The 15,859-nt window shown below is 38.5% G+C and overlaps 1 long non-coding RNA gene across 13 annotated transcripts in view, besides 1 other annotated feature; it reads right to left on the bottom strand.

The window, feature by feature from the left end:
* Positions 1-15,859, bottom strand: part of LOC105375523 (uncharacterized) — a 459,019-nt gene that overhangs the window by 342,798 nt on the left and 100,362 nt on the right. For 9 of the 13 annotated variants that reach the window (NR_187960.1, NR_187957.1, NR_187964.1 and 6 more), the window contains exon 1: positions 4,132-4,243. The exons of the other annotated variants lie outside the window; for them this stretch is intronic. This is a non-coding gene — a long non-coding RNA (uncharacterized LOC105375523). Of the gene's footprint in view, positions 1-4,131; positions 4,244-15,859 lie in introns of those variants that run through there. 13 annotated transcript variants of the gene reach the window in all.
* Positions 10,224-10,293: a silencer, noted in NCBI's record as "silent region_18682". NCBI's record gives its function as "represses an Ori minimal core promoter by ATAC-STARR-seq in GM12878 lymphoblastoid cells {active_cell/tissue: GM12878}" and the evidence as "EXISTENCE:reporter gene assay evidence [ECO:0000049][PMID:35858748]".

Raw genomic sequence — 15,859 nt, 5'->3', positions numbered from 1 at the left:
TAATGAATCCAGGAGCTGGTTTTTTGAAAGGATCAACAAAATTGATAGACCACTAGCAAGACTAATAAAGAAAAAGAGAAGAATCAAATAGACACAATAAAAAATGATAAAGGGGATATTGCCACCGATCCCACAGAAATACAAACTACCATCAGAGAATACTACAAACATCTCTACGCAAATAAACTAGAAAATCTAGAAGACATGGATAAATTCCTCGACACATACACTCTCCCAAGACTAAACCAGGAAGAAGTTGAATCGCTGAATAGACCAATAACAGGAGCTGAAATTGTGGCAATAATCAATAGCTTACCAACCAAAAAGTGTCCAGGACCAGATGGATTCACAGCCGAATTCTACCAGAGTTGCAAGGAGGAACTGGTACCATTCCTTCTGAAACTATTCCAATCAATAGAAAAAGAGGGAATCCTCCCTAACTCATTTTATGAGGCTAGCATCATCCTGATACCAAAGCCGGGCAGAGACACAACCAAAAAAGAGAATTTTAGACCAATATCCTTGATGAACATTGATGCAAAAATCCTCAATAAAATACTGGCAAACCAAATCCAGCAGCACATCAAAAAGCTTATCCACCATGATCAAGTGGGCTTCATCCCTGGGATGCAAGGCTGGTTCAATATATGCAGATCAATAAATGGAATCCAGCATATAAACAGAACCAAAGACAAAAACCACATGATTATCTCAATTGATGCAGAAAAGGCCTTTGACAAAATTCAACAACCCTTCATGCTAAAAACTCTCTATAAATTAGGGATTGATGGGACGTATTTCAAAATAATAAGAGCTATCTATGACAAACCCACAGCCAATATCATACTGAATGGGCAAAAACTGGAAGCATTCCCTTTGAAAACTGGCACAAGACAGGGATGCCCTCTCTCACCACTCCTATTCAACTTAGTGTTGGAAGTTCTGGCCAGGGCAATTAGGCAGGAGAAGGAAATAAAGGGTATTCAATTAGGAAAAGAGGAAGTCAAATTGTCCCTGTTTGCAGATGACATGATTGTATATCTAGAAAACCCCATTGTCTCAGCCCAAAATCTCCTTAAGTTGATAAGCAACTTCAGCAAAGTCTCAGGATACAAAATCAATGTACAAAAATCACAAGCATTCTTATACACCAACAACAGACAAACAGAGAGCCAAATCATGAGTGAACTCCCATTCACAATTGCTTCAAAGAGAATAAAATACCTAGGAATTCAACTTACAAGGGATGTGAAGGACCTCTTCAAGGAGAACTACAAACCACTGCTCAAGGAAATAAAAGAGGATACAAACAAATGGAAGAACATTCCATGCTCATGGGTAGGAAGAATCAATGTCGTGAAAATGGCCATACTGCCCAAGGTAATTTACAGATTCAATGCCATCCCCATCAAGCTACCAATGACTTTCTTCACAGAATTGGAAAAAACTACTTTAAAGTTCATATGGAACCAAAAAAGAGCTCGCATCGCCAAGTCAATCCTAAGCCAAAAGAACAAAGCTGGAGGCATCACGCTACCTGACTTCAAACTATACTACAAGGCTACAGTAACCAAAACAGCATGGTACTGGTACCAAAACAGAGATATAGATCAATGGAACAGAACAGAGCCCTCAGAAATAACGCCGCATATCTACAACTATCTGATCTTTGACAAACCTGAGAAAAACAAGCAATAGGGAAAGGATTCCCTATTTAATAAATGGTGCTGGGAAAACTGGCTAGCCATATGTAGAAAGCTGAAACTGGATCCCTTCCTTACACCTTATACAAAAATCAATTCAAGATGGATTAAAGACTTAAATATTAGACCTAAAACCATCAAAACCCTAGAAGAAAACCTAGGCATTACCACTCAGGACATAGGCATGGGCAAGGACTTCATGTCCAAAACACCAAAAGCAATGGCAACAAAAGCCAAAATTGACAAATGGGATCTAATTAAACTAAAGAGCTTCTGCACAGCAAAAGAAACTACCATCAGAGTGAACAGGCAACCTACAAAATGAGAGAAAATTTTCGCAACCTACTCATCTGACAAAGGGCTAATATCCAGAATCTACAATGAACTCCAACAAATTTACAAGAAAAAAACAACCCCATCAAAAAGTGGGTGAAGGACATGAACAGACACTTCTCAGAAGAAGACATTTATGCAGCCAAAAAACACATGAAAAAATGCTCACCATCACTGGCCATCAGAGAAATGCAAATCAAAACCACAATGAGATACCATCTCACACCAGTTAGAATGGCAATCATTAAAAAGTCAGGAAACAACAGGTGCTGGAGAGGATGTGGAGAAATAGGAACACTTTTACACTGTTGGTGGGACTGTAAACTAGTTCAACCATTGTGGAAGTCAGTGTGGCGATTCCTCAGGGATCTAGAACTAGAAATACCATTTGACCCAGCCATTCCATTACTGGGTATATACCCAAAGGACTAGAAATCATGCTGCTATAAAGACACATGCACACGTATGTTTATTGTGGCATTATTCACAATAGCAAAGACTTGGAACCAACCCAAATGTCCAACAATGATAGACTGGATTAAGAAAATGTGGCACATATACACCATGGAATACTATGCAGCCATAAAAAATGATGAGTTCATGTCCTTTGTAGGGACATGGATGAAATTGGAAATCATCATTCTCAGTAAACTATCGCAAGAACAAAAAACCAAACACCGCATATTCTCACTCATAGGTGGGAATTGAAGAATGAGAACACATGGACACAGGAAGGGGAACATCACACTCTGGGGACTGTTGTGGGGTGGGGGGAGGGGGGAGGGATAGCATTGGGAGATATACCTAATGCTAGATGACGAGTTAGTGGGTGCAGTGCACCAGCATGGCACATGTATACATATGTAACTAACCTGCACATTGTGCACATGCACCCTAAAACTTAAAGTATAATAATAAAAAAAAAAAGAAACTGAAAAAAAAAACAACAACAGTCTACAAGAGATGAACTTTTTCAGCCTTTTTTCAGATAACATTATTTCACTCATACTTTTTAACAACATTTTTTTTTTGTTCTCACTCTTTAATGACAGCTTAACCACATAGAGCAGTGTAGGGTGATCAATGATCTGCTTTGGACTGAGGGATTTCCCAGGACTTGGAACTTTCAGTGCTAAAACCAGGACAGTTTCTAGCAAAATGTCATGGTTGATCACCCTCTGTTATGTTCCATTTCTTTGCGCTCACCAGTATTAAAAATATCATTGTCTTCTGATGTCTAGCTGTGCTTCTGAGAAAACTTCTGTGTGCTAAATTTTGTTTCTTTGAGGATAACCTATTATTTCTCTCTGGCTGCTTGTAAGATTTTCTCTCTCGTAGTCTATCCACAGTGTTGCTTTATAAATTTATTTTCTGTTCATTCTATTCAGGACTAGTTACACTACTGAATATAAAGATTTCATATCTTCCAATTTTGGAAAAATTGTAACCAATCTTTAAACATTTCATCTCTTACTTTAGAATTCCTGTTAGATATTGTCATGAACTGAATGTCTTTGTTCCCCCAAAATTCATATGTTGAAATACTAACCCCCAATTTGATGGTATTAGGAAGTGGGGCCTTTTGGAGATAATTAGATCATGAGGATGGAGCCCTCTTAAATGGGATTAGTGCCCTTATAAGAAGACGTGAGGTTTTTGGCTGGTTTGTTTGTTTCCTCTCTGCTCCCCACCAGATGAAGATACAATGAGGAGACAGCCCTCTACAAACCAGGAGACAGGCCCTCACCAGACACTGGATATGCTGGTACTTTGATCTTGGACTTCCAGCCTCCAAAATGGTAAGAAATACATTTCTGTGGCTTGTAAGTCACCCAGTTTATGAAACTTTGTTTATCAACCCAAGATAAAACAGATATTCTGTATTTTCTTACTATATTCCATATGCTTCTTTATCCCTCAGATTTTTCTACCTCTACCCTTTTCTGCTCTGCATTCTGGATAATTTCCCCAGCCCTATCTTCCAGATACATAGGAATAATTTCAGTGATATTGAATCGATGTTTAAGCCATTGTATTAGTCCAACATACCCCAGACTGGGCAATTTACAAAATAAAGAGGTTTAATTGGACTTACAGTTTCACATGGCTGGGGAAGGTCTCACGATCACGGCAGAGGGTGAAAGAGAATTCTTACATGGCAGAGGGTGAGAGACAATTCTTACATTGTGGCGGCAAGACAGAATGAGGAAGAAGCAAAAGTGGAAACCTCTGATAAACTCATCAGATCTTGTGAGACTTACTCACTATCACGAGAATAGCACAGGAAAAAACCACCCCCCGTGATTCAATTACCTCCCCCTGGGTCCCTCCCACAATATGTGGGAATTCTGGGAGACACAATTCAAGTTGAGATTTGGGTGAAGGCACAGCCAAGCCATATCAGCCATTGAGTTTTTAACTTTATTGGTTAAAATTTTGTTTCTGGAAGTTCTATTTGGTTCTTATTCAAAGATTTTTAAATTTTTTTTCAGAAGGTTATGCTACTTATTTGTGCCCTGTTATTTTTCTCCCTCTTTAATCCTTACAAACCTTTTCTTTGTATTCTCATTCAGATGATTTCACTGAGTTCAAGGTCTCCGACCTCCCTACATGTGCTCTCTCTTTCTCTCATGATGGATTATTTTCCCACATGATTTATGATTTTGATTGTGAGATAATAATGATAATAATTCTAGTGGTTTATTTTTTCTATGAGAGATCTGTGGGCCTGCTTATGGAAATGTATTTTCAAAGTGGTTTTGCATTTGCTGCTGCCTGGTACCCCAGGGATACCAATACACAGTGATGAGCTTTAATTATTTTTCAGTTAGGGATTTCTGGGATGCTAAAGAGTGTTTAGAAATCCAAACTTGGGAGAGATATAAATCGGAGTTACAGGTTCCTCTTTGGATATGTACATATATATTTTATCAAAAGCTCAGACCAAGAGGCATAATTGCCTCTTCATCTCCCTGCAATGGTGGACTGCTTTTCTAGTCACTTCTTGCTTTAAGACAATGGTCCTTTGATGGACTTAGCTTTATGCAAAGGTCTTATGTATAGCACAACATTTCAATCAGGCTCAAGGTAACTAAGACAGAAAACCCCATCCTCACCTTTACCCATGTAAAGGACAGCTCCAATATCCTGTATTCAAAACTGTTTTATCTAGTACTTTTAAGTATTTGCAGTGGGAGATTTGGGACATTGCCTTTGTCTATCCTGCGAAAATTGCCATTCTGCCCTCTTGTACACCACCAGGCACCTCTTATACACCACTTAGGATCATCTCAAGTACACCTGTCCCTTGTTCTGGCTTCTGCTGTAGTTAATAAGCTCTACTTGGATTCTGACTGGCTTCAGCAGTCACAAGCTGACAGGTTTTCTAAAACTGCCCCCACTTTCTCCTAAAAAGGAAAAGAGAGCGGGCATTAGTAACAGTCTCACATTAGTAACAATCTCATTAACAGCATTAGTAACAATCTCACTAACAGCATTAGTGACAATCTCACCTGTCTTTCACACATTTCCTTGTTCTTCCACATGTGCCACTGAATTCAGCGTCCATAACAATGGCTTTCATGATCTGGCTCTTGCCTCTGCCATCCAGCTCAAACCACAGCTCTAAACAACACTTAAACATCCTTGCCACATGGCTTTCACACCGCCCCACCTTTCTATTTGGACATCTGACTTTACCATTTCCAATTTTCACCTGTACCCCAGATTCTAACTTGACCCTCCTCTAAGTAATTACACTGTAAGCATTCTACTCATTCTCTGTAGGTCTGGTGTAATTGGTTCCCAATACTGATCTGAAATGTCTCATGGCCACATACCACACTGTGCTACTACACAAGTTGCCCCTGGTTTCCTCCAATCCTACCGCAATGGCCTTTGAGGTGATGTTCCTGCTCTCCCATCTAATCACTCTTCCCAAAGGCTGCCAGACTTGCCCTCCTCAAAGAGCAATCTGATCCTTTCTCTGCAGTTCTGTAGCATTTATAACTTGGTGTAGCCATTTAGTACTTGTTGATCTACTGTTGTTTTCTTTGTTATTGTTTCCTATGTGTAAGTATTGTTCCCTAACTTAAAAGCTTATAAAGCAGAAGTCAGCAATTTGTTTCTATAAAGAACCAGATGGTAAATATTTAAGACTTTGTGGGCCATATAGTCCCTATGTCGACAACTCAACTCTGCCATTGTATCAGGAAAGCAGCCTCAGATGATGCATACACAAATGCCTGCAGATGTGTTCCAGTATAACTTCATTTGCGAAAACAGGCAGCCAAGGCTGGGCGTGCTGGCTCATGCCCATAATCCTAGCACTTTGGGAGGCCGAGGTGGGTGTATCACCTGAGGTCAGGAGTTCAAGACCAGCCTGGCCAACATGGTGAAACCCTGTCTCTACTAAAAATACAAAATTAGCCAGGCATGGTGGTGGGCACTGGTAATCCCAGCTACTCAGGAGGCTGAGGCAGGAGAATCTCTTGAACCCGGGAGATGGAGGTTGCAGTGAGCTGAGATCACGCCATTGTACTCCAGCATGCCAACCTCTGTTCTAAAGGATATGATGACTGCATATTATTCTTTATCTTCTTCAAATAGGGAAACCTCAATAAATGTTCAATACTTGGATATTCATACTCCTTGGCATTTATAGTGTATGGAAGAGCTCAGAAACAGCTGCCTGGCTATTCCAACCCCAATAAAAGCACAAGCCAATTGGATTTTAAATCCCCACACTAAATATTAATCAGCATTTCAGTATTTGCCTTGATTACATTGAAATCTAGGAATTGTTCCCTTGTCCTCAGCCCCTAACATTAATTGGACATTTCAACTTTTTTCTTCTGGTTGTATTAGCTGATTTCATTCAGTAAGGTATTTTTCAGAGAGAAGTAGATGAATGCACAAAATCACGAATGGGCAGTCCAGGTAAGAGAAGCTAACAAATATGATGCAAAAATATGTGGCATTCCATAGAACTATACCAATTATTTCACATTGTTAGCCTCATCTTATCTTGGCTCCTTTCTGTTAAGGCTTGTGAAGTCTTGAGAGCCCTTTTACTATTTTTAAGCATAAGCTTATATCCTTTCTGTCCTTCCCTACAACGATGACTTTTACAGCATGTGGGAAATAACAACAAATAAGTACTTAAAGGCATGGTAATTATTGCTTAGTGATGTATATTTTCCATTGTAAATGAGTATATTTAAACCCTCATTAATCTTTTAATTTTGTATTAATCTTTTGGAAATTTGGTTTGTATGACTCCGTCAGGCCAAGCAATTCCGGGACCCCAACCCAATCAAGTTCCTGCATCTGTGGATCTGAGGACAAAACACACCATTTTGCCAAGGCTCTTCTAAGACTGACAAATTATCGTTCCTAAGATGCAGCCCTTCATCAGTGCCTATCTATTTTTACCCCAGTGCCAAATAAGGATTAGATTTCAGGAGCTGTTAAAGAATAGTAAGAGGAAGAGGCAGAAAAGAGACACCAGAAGAAAGCTGATAGAAATAGGAAAAGGTCAGGCTCCGAACGGTGGCTTTGAGATCACTCTCCAGCAGCGCAGGTTCCTAGAGCTGTGCGCTCTGCCCAGCTAAGGGTACTCTCCTGTACAGGTTGATCTGAATATCTGACATGTTTAAATTTTGTCAAAATACTTTGCTTTCTACCTCACTTTCTGTTTTTTTTATCTTACTTTAATTTACAAAAAGAGAGATAGAAGAGAGCTAACTCAGGCAACATCTTCTGACAAGGGTTCCAAAGGATGTTTGGTGGAAAAGTGCTGTAAAGAAGCCAACTATCTATATTTTGCACTTCTAATTCCCTAAAGCTTCACTTAGTTGGAAACCATACATTCTACAAAACTAAGGACATAAGTTATATGTGGTACTTATGGGGTGTGTAGAGTGGTACTTCCTTTTATTTGCCCTAAAATACTGCTCTTATTTTGTTACATGTAGAAATAGATATTGTTCCTATACATGTAGAAATAGATATTTGATCTTTCCCCTCTTTTTTGTGTGGGGGTGGGGTGGGATTCTTACATCAATACCCACCTCATGGTCCTCAGAGCAATTGCCATTTGTTCTCTTGCCCCAGATCCCTAGGTCCAGTAAGTACTAAGCACCAGCATCACTTAGGATTCAACAGGAAAACGAACCCACACATGCAATTTCAACATTGGAATTAGAGGGTAAAATGAACAAATGAAAACACTGAGGTAGACCAGAGGTACAAAGCTCAGGAAACATCTTCCACCCTTAGGGCTATAGGACAAACAGAAAAGGTTGCAATCACTAAGACCTGGGAGCTCAGAGGAGAAGCCCAGGGACCCAGTTCAGACCTCTGAGGAAGGAGAAGCCCAGGGACCCAGCTCAGACCTCCAACGAAGGGCACTGACAGCTGTTTCCAGATCTGAGTGCCAAAAGAAGCAGGAGGCTGGAACCAACTGCCCCTGCTGAGGCAAAATGCTACAGGGTGATGCTGATGGACCAGCAAGCAGGAGAGAGGAGGGCCCTTCTCCCCTTCATCCTGCCTTTCCATCTTCTTCTGAGGCTCTCTAGGGGTACAGCCTAATAGAGAACCAGATGGCAGAGGAGGGAAGAAGAATGTAGGTTAGAATGTCCCAGACCCAGCATCACAAAGCCAACTTGAGAAGATTTATTTGGAACTGAGAGATGCTATCTTAATAACCAGCACAGCACCTGATTCATGTTGGTCAGATTTTCTTAATTTAGAGCGAGAAAGAACAGGAGGTCGTTCTCTTCAACAGTTGGAAGATGTTGTTTCCTGACATTGGAGAAAACTTGACAAAAGCCAGGGCAATTTGCACTAGTTGCAGAATCAATTATTAGCATCAATTAAAATATCTGAAAAGGAACCTCCAGGACAGGATCAATTTTTAGAAAAAAAGATGTACTCATATAGAGTAGCTATAATGACCAGAAACTCAAACAGTAAATTCTTGCCCCTTTACACACACACAGACACACACACACACACACACACACACACACACAGTGCCTAAGAACTATTATCTGTCCAGACCTCCTGTGCTTCTATGCTTCCACCACCTCTAAGAGTCACTTTTCTCTCACTTGTATGAAAAACTCTAAATCTCAGTTCCCAACATGCCAACAGGTAGAGGAAACTGGCTGTAGCATATTTCATCCTGGATGTGTAGACACCTTCAGAAACGCTTCATAGATGTAAAGTAAAGTTAGAGTTTCTAGAAGCAGTACATGCTAAGGGCATAATCTCTCATATATAACACTTGCATATGCAAAGAAGACAAAATACTGCCTCATATCCTATAAAGTAAAACACAAGGAAACAAGAATTAAAAGAATAAAAGATCCTACTAAATTTCTACCAAAAATTAGAATTTGTCCTGGGGATTCTGAACATGTGAACCATTCCAGGTCTAGACCAGAGAAGAAAAGTCATATTTACTCAAAAAGTTACTACTATCACTGCATATACCTTGACTTTTAGCAAACCGAACTTAGGTAAATCCTGCTAAGGCTAGAGATAAGTTAATAAAAATGCATGCAAATAAACAAAACATGTGGACTAATAAAATGTTTTATTACAAGGGAAAGGAAATATTATTCTGAACAGCTGGAGGAAGAATACACATTGAGAATTATTTTCTATAAAAGAAGAATTTTTATTGTGTTAAATTATACCTAACATAAAATAAATATTTTTAACCATTTTTAAGTGTACAGTTTAATGGCATTAAAGACATTCACATTGTTCTACAGCCCAGAATGTTTTCAAAATTTCTTCACAATCTCCCCCAAAATACAAAAAGACAGTTTCTTAGGAAAAAAAAATAATACAGGGGACTAGCAGAAGAGAATAGATTGCAATAAAGGCAGAAATAAAGGGAAGAAGACTAAAAACTAAGATACAATATGTTTTAATGAAATTGTATTAAAATTCACATTAGAGGCAGTAAAAAGCAAAACTGACAAAAACCTACTCAGCAAGTAGAGGATAAACTTGAAAGTCTCCCAAAACAAAAAAGAAAGATGTAAGAAATACAAACCATAACAGAGATGAGAACAGAAGTGAAACCAAGTTGACTGGTCTAAGCCCTGCCTCGGTCTCATAGTGATTGGTTCCAAGTGGGCATATGACCTGCGATTACCCAATCAGAGTGAAACACAGAGCTTTTATTCAACAAATGTGAGAACAGACGCTGTCTCTCCTCCTGGGTATGAATAGAGAAGGCTGCAGCCCTGGAAACTGCTGGCAACCATATCACTTAAGTGAGGGAAAGTATGCTGAGAATGAAGCTTACAAAGGATTAGAAGGGGCAGAGCCAGGAGAATTGATGCCCTAATAACAATAGGAATTTAGGGTATGTGACACCTAAACACCTTCCTGTCTCTGCACCATTCAGCTTTTTATCTAACATAACACTTTGTTGTTTAAGCAAACTTGAGTTTGAGTTCTCTTTAAATTCAAAAATATTTTAATGAATACTATCGGTAAAATCCCTGGATTAGTAAAATTCTCTGAAATCAGAATGCCCAATCTGAAGATTTTTTTTAAAGAAAGATTAATTCTAAGAAAGCTAATTTAAAAGACCTACACTTAGGTCTAACCCAGTGAAAGTTTTAAATGTCAATGGAAGAGAAAATATACGAGGAACCTTCGAACAGAAAAATGTCCATCTTACGTTAGATTTCTTAGAAATACTAAACATCACTGTGCAATGAAACAATGTTTACAGAATTTTGAGAAATTATTGTTTTGACTCAAGAATTTAAAATACAGAAAAACTTCATTTGGATGTGAAAATAGTAAAAAGATTTATCTAGCTATACAGAAATTGTGAAAGTATAACAATAGCCTTCCTGAAAGCTTAATCAAAAACAATATAAGTAAACAAGTGATGAATCAAAATTATAAATGCAAGAAAGTAAAAATGATAACATAAATATACTGGTAGTAAGCACAAAATTTGTTAAAATGCTTGAAAAATTCAATTCAAAATCCAAAGTACCAATAAGTCTTAAAAAATAATTTCCATGGTTAAAACAATAAATGATATTTAATAAAAATGTGGCTTTGTTATATCCATTTAAATTAACCAGCCCTTAAAGGACCCAACGGGAAAGGATGGGAACTTAAAAGCATGAGACAGACTAAATTCTTCGCTGGGCAAAGGAAGGAGTCAGAGGTTATAATTCCAAGCCAGGCACGGTGGCTCATGCCTATAATCTCAACACTTTGGGAGGCCGAGGCGGGCAGATCACCGGAGGCCAGGAGTTCAAGACCAGCCTGGTCAACATGGCGAAACCCTATCTCTACTAAAAATACAAAAATTAGCCAGGCATCGCAGCAGATGCCTGCAATCCCAGCTACTCGGGAGGCTGAGGCAGGAGAATCACTTGAACCCAGGAGGCGGAGGCTGCAGTGAGCCAAGATCATGCCATTGTACTCCAGCCTGGACAATAAGAGTGAAACTGTCCCAAGAAAAAAAACAAAAGAAGTTATAATTCTGTTCTTGATTTCAATAAAGGGAGAAAGTTTAATTAGATATTTGATAATATTAAAGGCAATCACTACCACAAATAAAGGCAAATCATTTAATTTTTAAAACACAATTTAGATGGGTCAATAGGTGCAGCAAACCACCATGGCACACATGTACCTATGTAACAAACCTGCACGTTCTCCACATGTATCCTGGAACTTAAATTTAAAAAATTTTAAAAACCACGATTTAAAAAACAAAATAATCACTCAGTACATGTAATCAAAGACAGAAAACAGTAGAAAGCACAAGGGGATAGAAAAACAGCATAAACTAAGTGAGGAAAAACCAAATATAGGTGCATGAGAAAAATTAAAGGGAATATTCCCTTTTATTACAAGAAACATTTCCACACATTGGAATATTTTAAAATACAAATCTCTATTTATAAAAGTTAAGTGAAATTTTAAAAAGATTAAAAATAAAAGAAACAGCAATGATGATCACATCATGATATTGGAAAGACTTTTCCTATTGTTTTAGAATGTTGTTTAGAGTCCCAAAATTCAGTATATTAGAAGCTATGTAGCATCAAATTCCAAAGAGAACATTAAGAACCTGCCATACATGCCCTTCAGGGTTTATATTATAAAAGAGGGCTTCATCCTCTGTATGGCAACCAGATCACATAAAGGAAAATAACTCAAAAGAACGTTAGTTGAATAGAGAAAGATTTTAGAGGGGGCCGCAGTGAGGAAGTGTGCCGTGGCTTTTCTCTTTGTGGAGGAGAGGAGGGAGCACCATCTCCCAGCTCTGTGAAACCAAATTAGAGGTGTCCTCAAGAAAAGGGGATCTGCATCTCAGTTCCCCCATTGACCCCTTCACATGCTGAACTTCAGAAACTTGTAAACCTATTTAGATGTTGCCATCAGAGCATGGGAGCACATAGTAAAAAAAGTTCTTTGAAGTTTGACATGTCTTCTTGAGAGTTGGGGAGCTTATGTGAAAATGGAGATGTCTTCTCTGGAGAATGATGAAAGCTGGAACCTGGCTGGAGTAGAATGGTATGGAAAAGAAGAGGTAACGGTGCAGTGAGACAAAAACAGGAGAGTTTCCTATGGCCAGGAGGACACCAGGAAAGCTAGGCAGGCTTGGGTCTTCTTGAAGATACCCCTTCAAGAAAGGTGACTTACAGGCGGAGGAAACCCAACGGAAAGAAGCGTACTGCAGGGGTGAGAGCTGTGGGGAGAAGGTCACAGAGACAAAAGAATTATGCACTGGGTCTGTGATGGTCAATTTGATGTGCCAACTTGGAGAGGCCACAGTGCTCAGGCATTCAATCAAGCACTATTCTAGATGTTTTTCTGAAAGTATTTTTAGATGAGATTAGTATTTCCATCAATGTACTTTGAGTAAAGCCGATTACCCTTCATAATGTGGACGGACTTCATCCAATCAGTTGAAGGCCTAAGGAGAGAAAAGACTGATATCCCCCAAGAAAGAGGGAATTCTACCAGGTGACTGCCTGCAAGCTCAAACTGGAGCATCTACTTTTTCCTGGCTCCTTGGCCTACTGGCCTGCCCTGCAGACTTTGGACTTACTGGCTCTCTACAATTACATAAACCAATTCCTTAAAATTAATTTCTGTCTCTCTCTCTTTCTCTCTGTGTGTGTGTGCGCACGCACACACACACACACATCCTATTGGGTCCTACCACACAGAAACTACCTAAGGCCAGATGATATGAGACAAGACATCACTACAACATAGGATTACTATGTTCTTCAAGTTTCAGGACTTTTTCTCTCATTGCTTCTCCTATACACACACCACCACCCCAAAAGAGCCACAAAAAGAAAAAGGAACAGTGAGAAACAGACCCTGCCTGTCTCATCAATGTCCTGAGCTTGGGTTAGGGGGACACAGTGGGGAAGTGCAAATCGATGAGATATTAGAGTTTTATATTAGACTGAAATAGACATTTTTATCCAAAATATCATCAGGAACTAGGGAAGGGAAATATGCAGGGTACTTTTGAAGGCAGAGATCTAAGAGGAAAAAAAAAAGCTATTTATAATTGTGTCTCAATCTCTTCAGATTATAAGTCAGTTACTACTGTATCAGAACAATACCAAAAGGTAAGCTAAGGAAGGAGGAAAGACAGAAGGAAAAGGAGAAGGATGAAAGACAGAAGTTAGCAGGTAAAGCAATATAATTAGCAAACTAGAAAGAAGTCAAGGTGGCCTGGCGTGGTGGCTCATGCCTGTAATCCCAGCACTTTGGGAGGCCAAGGTGGGTGGATCACTTGAGGTCAGGTGTTTGAGACCAGCCTGGCCAACATCGTAGAACCTCATCTCTACTAAAAAATACAAAAATTAGCCAAGTGTGATGGTGGGCACCTGAATCCCAGCTACTTGGGAGGTTAAGGCAGGAGAATCACTTGAACCTGGGAGGCAGAGGTTGCAGTGAGCCAAGTTCATGCCACTGCACTCCAGCTTGGACAACAGAGTGAGACCTTGAGAAAGGCAAGGCAAGGCAGAGAGAGAGAGAGAGATGGTGGGGGGAAGCAAGAAAGAAAGGAAGGAAGGGAGGGGGGGAGGGGAGGGGAGGGAAAGGGAAGAAAGAGAGAGAGAAAAGAGAGGAAAGAGAAAGAGAGAGAGAGAGAAAGAGAAAGAAAGAAAGAAAGAAAGAAAGAAAGAAAGAAAGAAAGAAAGAAAGAAAGAAAGAAAGAAAGAAAAGAAAAGGAAAAATGAAAAGGAAAGGAAAGGGGAAAGAAAGAAAGAAGGAAAGAAAGAAAGAGAGAAAAGGAAAAGAAAGAAAGGAAAGAAAGAAAAAGAAAGAAAAGGAGAGGAGAGGAAAGGAAAGGAAAGGAAGGAAGGAAGAGAAAGAGAAAAGAAAGAGAAAGAAAGAAGGAAAGGGAAAGGAAAGGAAGAAAAAAGTCAAGGCAAGCGTCATTAAATTGGAGTGTGGATCATTTTACATTTATTAAAGTATAACTCACAATAGCATTATAACAGACATGAACCTAATGTATTAAATAGTAGAGTATCACAGACCTGAGGGAAAATAAAGGTAGGGGAAAAATAATCTTCCAAAACTGAGCCTAAAAATATGAGCCTGAAGAGGCCAATAACTCCAGAAGAAACTGAAAAAGTTATCAAATAATCACCTGTCATAACAGGTCTAAGTTAAAATATTTTATAGATACATATCCAAATGCTTGAAGGAACAGATAATTCCCAGGCTACATTATTTTTTTAGGGCATAGAAAAAGATTAAAAGTGACCCAATTCACTTTGGGAATCTAGCATAACCAATTCTGACCCCAAAACCTGACCAAAAAAGTTTTAAACAGGAAAACTACACATTAGTCTCATTATTTTCAATATCAATACTAATTCTATATAAAATACTAGCAAATTTAATCAGCTTAACTTTCAAAGAAAAATCCACCATGACCAAATAAAATTATTCCCAAAATGCAAAAAAATTATTATTAGTGAATAAAAAGTATCAGATCAATAAGCCAATAAAAAATAAACCATAAGATCATGATGACATATGCAGAATACACATTTGATGAAATTCCCAGCTCATCTCTAATGATATAATTTAAGCCTAGAGCTATTATACTTAACAAGGACATATTACAGATATCACTATTAAAGTAAGAAACAAAGTATACGATATCCAATATCATAACCGTTATTTGATATTGTTCTGGAAGCTTTAACCAGTATAAGACATCCATAAAGGAACACTCTATAAAGCATAAAAAATTTCTTCAGACAAGAACTCCAGCTTGAAGGTACAGTGAAATAAGGAAGACTTACTATATCTTCACATGGTGATTTACGTATGTGTATATGTATGTATATGTGTATTGTGTGTGCATGTAATTATGTGAGTATTTATTTTATTCATGCCTTACCTTCTTCAAATAAGAAACAAGAGGATAAATCTTGGAAAAAAGGAATCTTTCTTTGCAGACAACAAATGAGAATATGCCTAAAAATTCCAACAGGATCAAATGAAAATCTTTTTAAACGTGAATATATAAAACTCTATCATCTTTATGTATGGCAGTAATAACAAGTTAGAAAATACAATGTACAAAGTTCCTTTTGCATTACAGCAACAAAAAACAAAAGATGTAATACCTAGAAATGAACTTTAAAGACTGTTGAACTTATGTGAAAAATAACTAAACTTTACCAGGAGAGTTCGGTGTATAAAAAAGCACATAAAATAAGAAAAAAAAAACACCCCTCAACACATTAATGAACCAAACATATGATCACTCGCTAAAGAGAAAA

Source organism: Homo sapiens, chromosome 7, assembly GCF_000001405.40.
Source record: "Homo sapiens chromosome 7, GRCh38.p14 Primary Assembly".
NCBI classification, from domain to species: domain Eukaryota; kingdom Metazoa; phylum Chordata; class Mammalia; order Primates; family Hominidae; genus Homo; species Homo sapiens.
The sequence above is the reverse complement of the archived record's forward strand: the minus strand, read 5'-3'. Positions and strand labels throughout refer to the sequence as shown.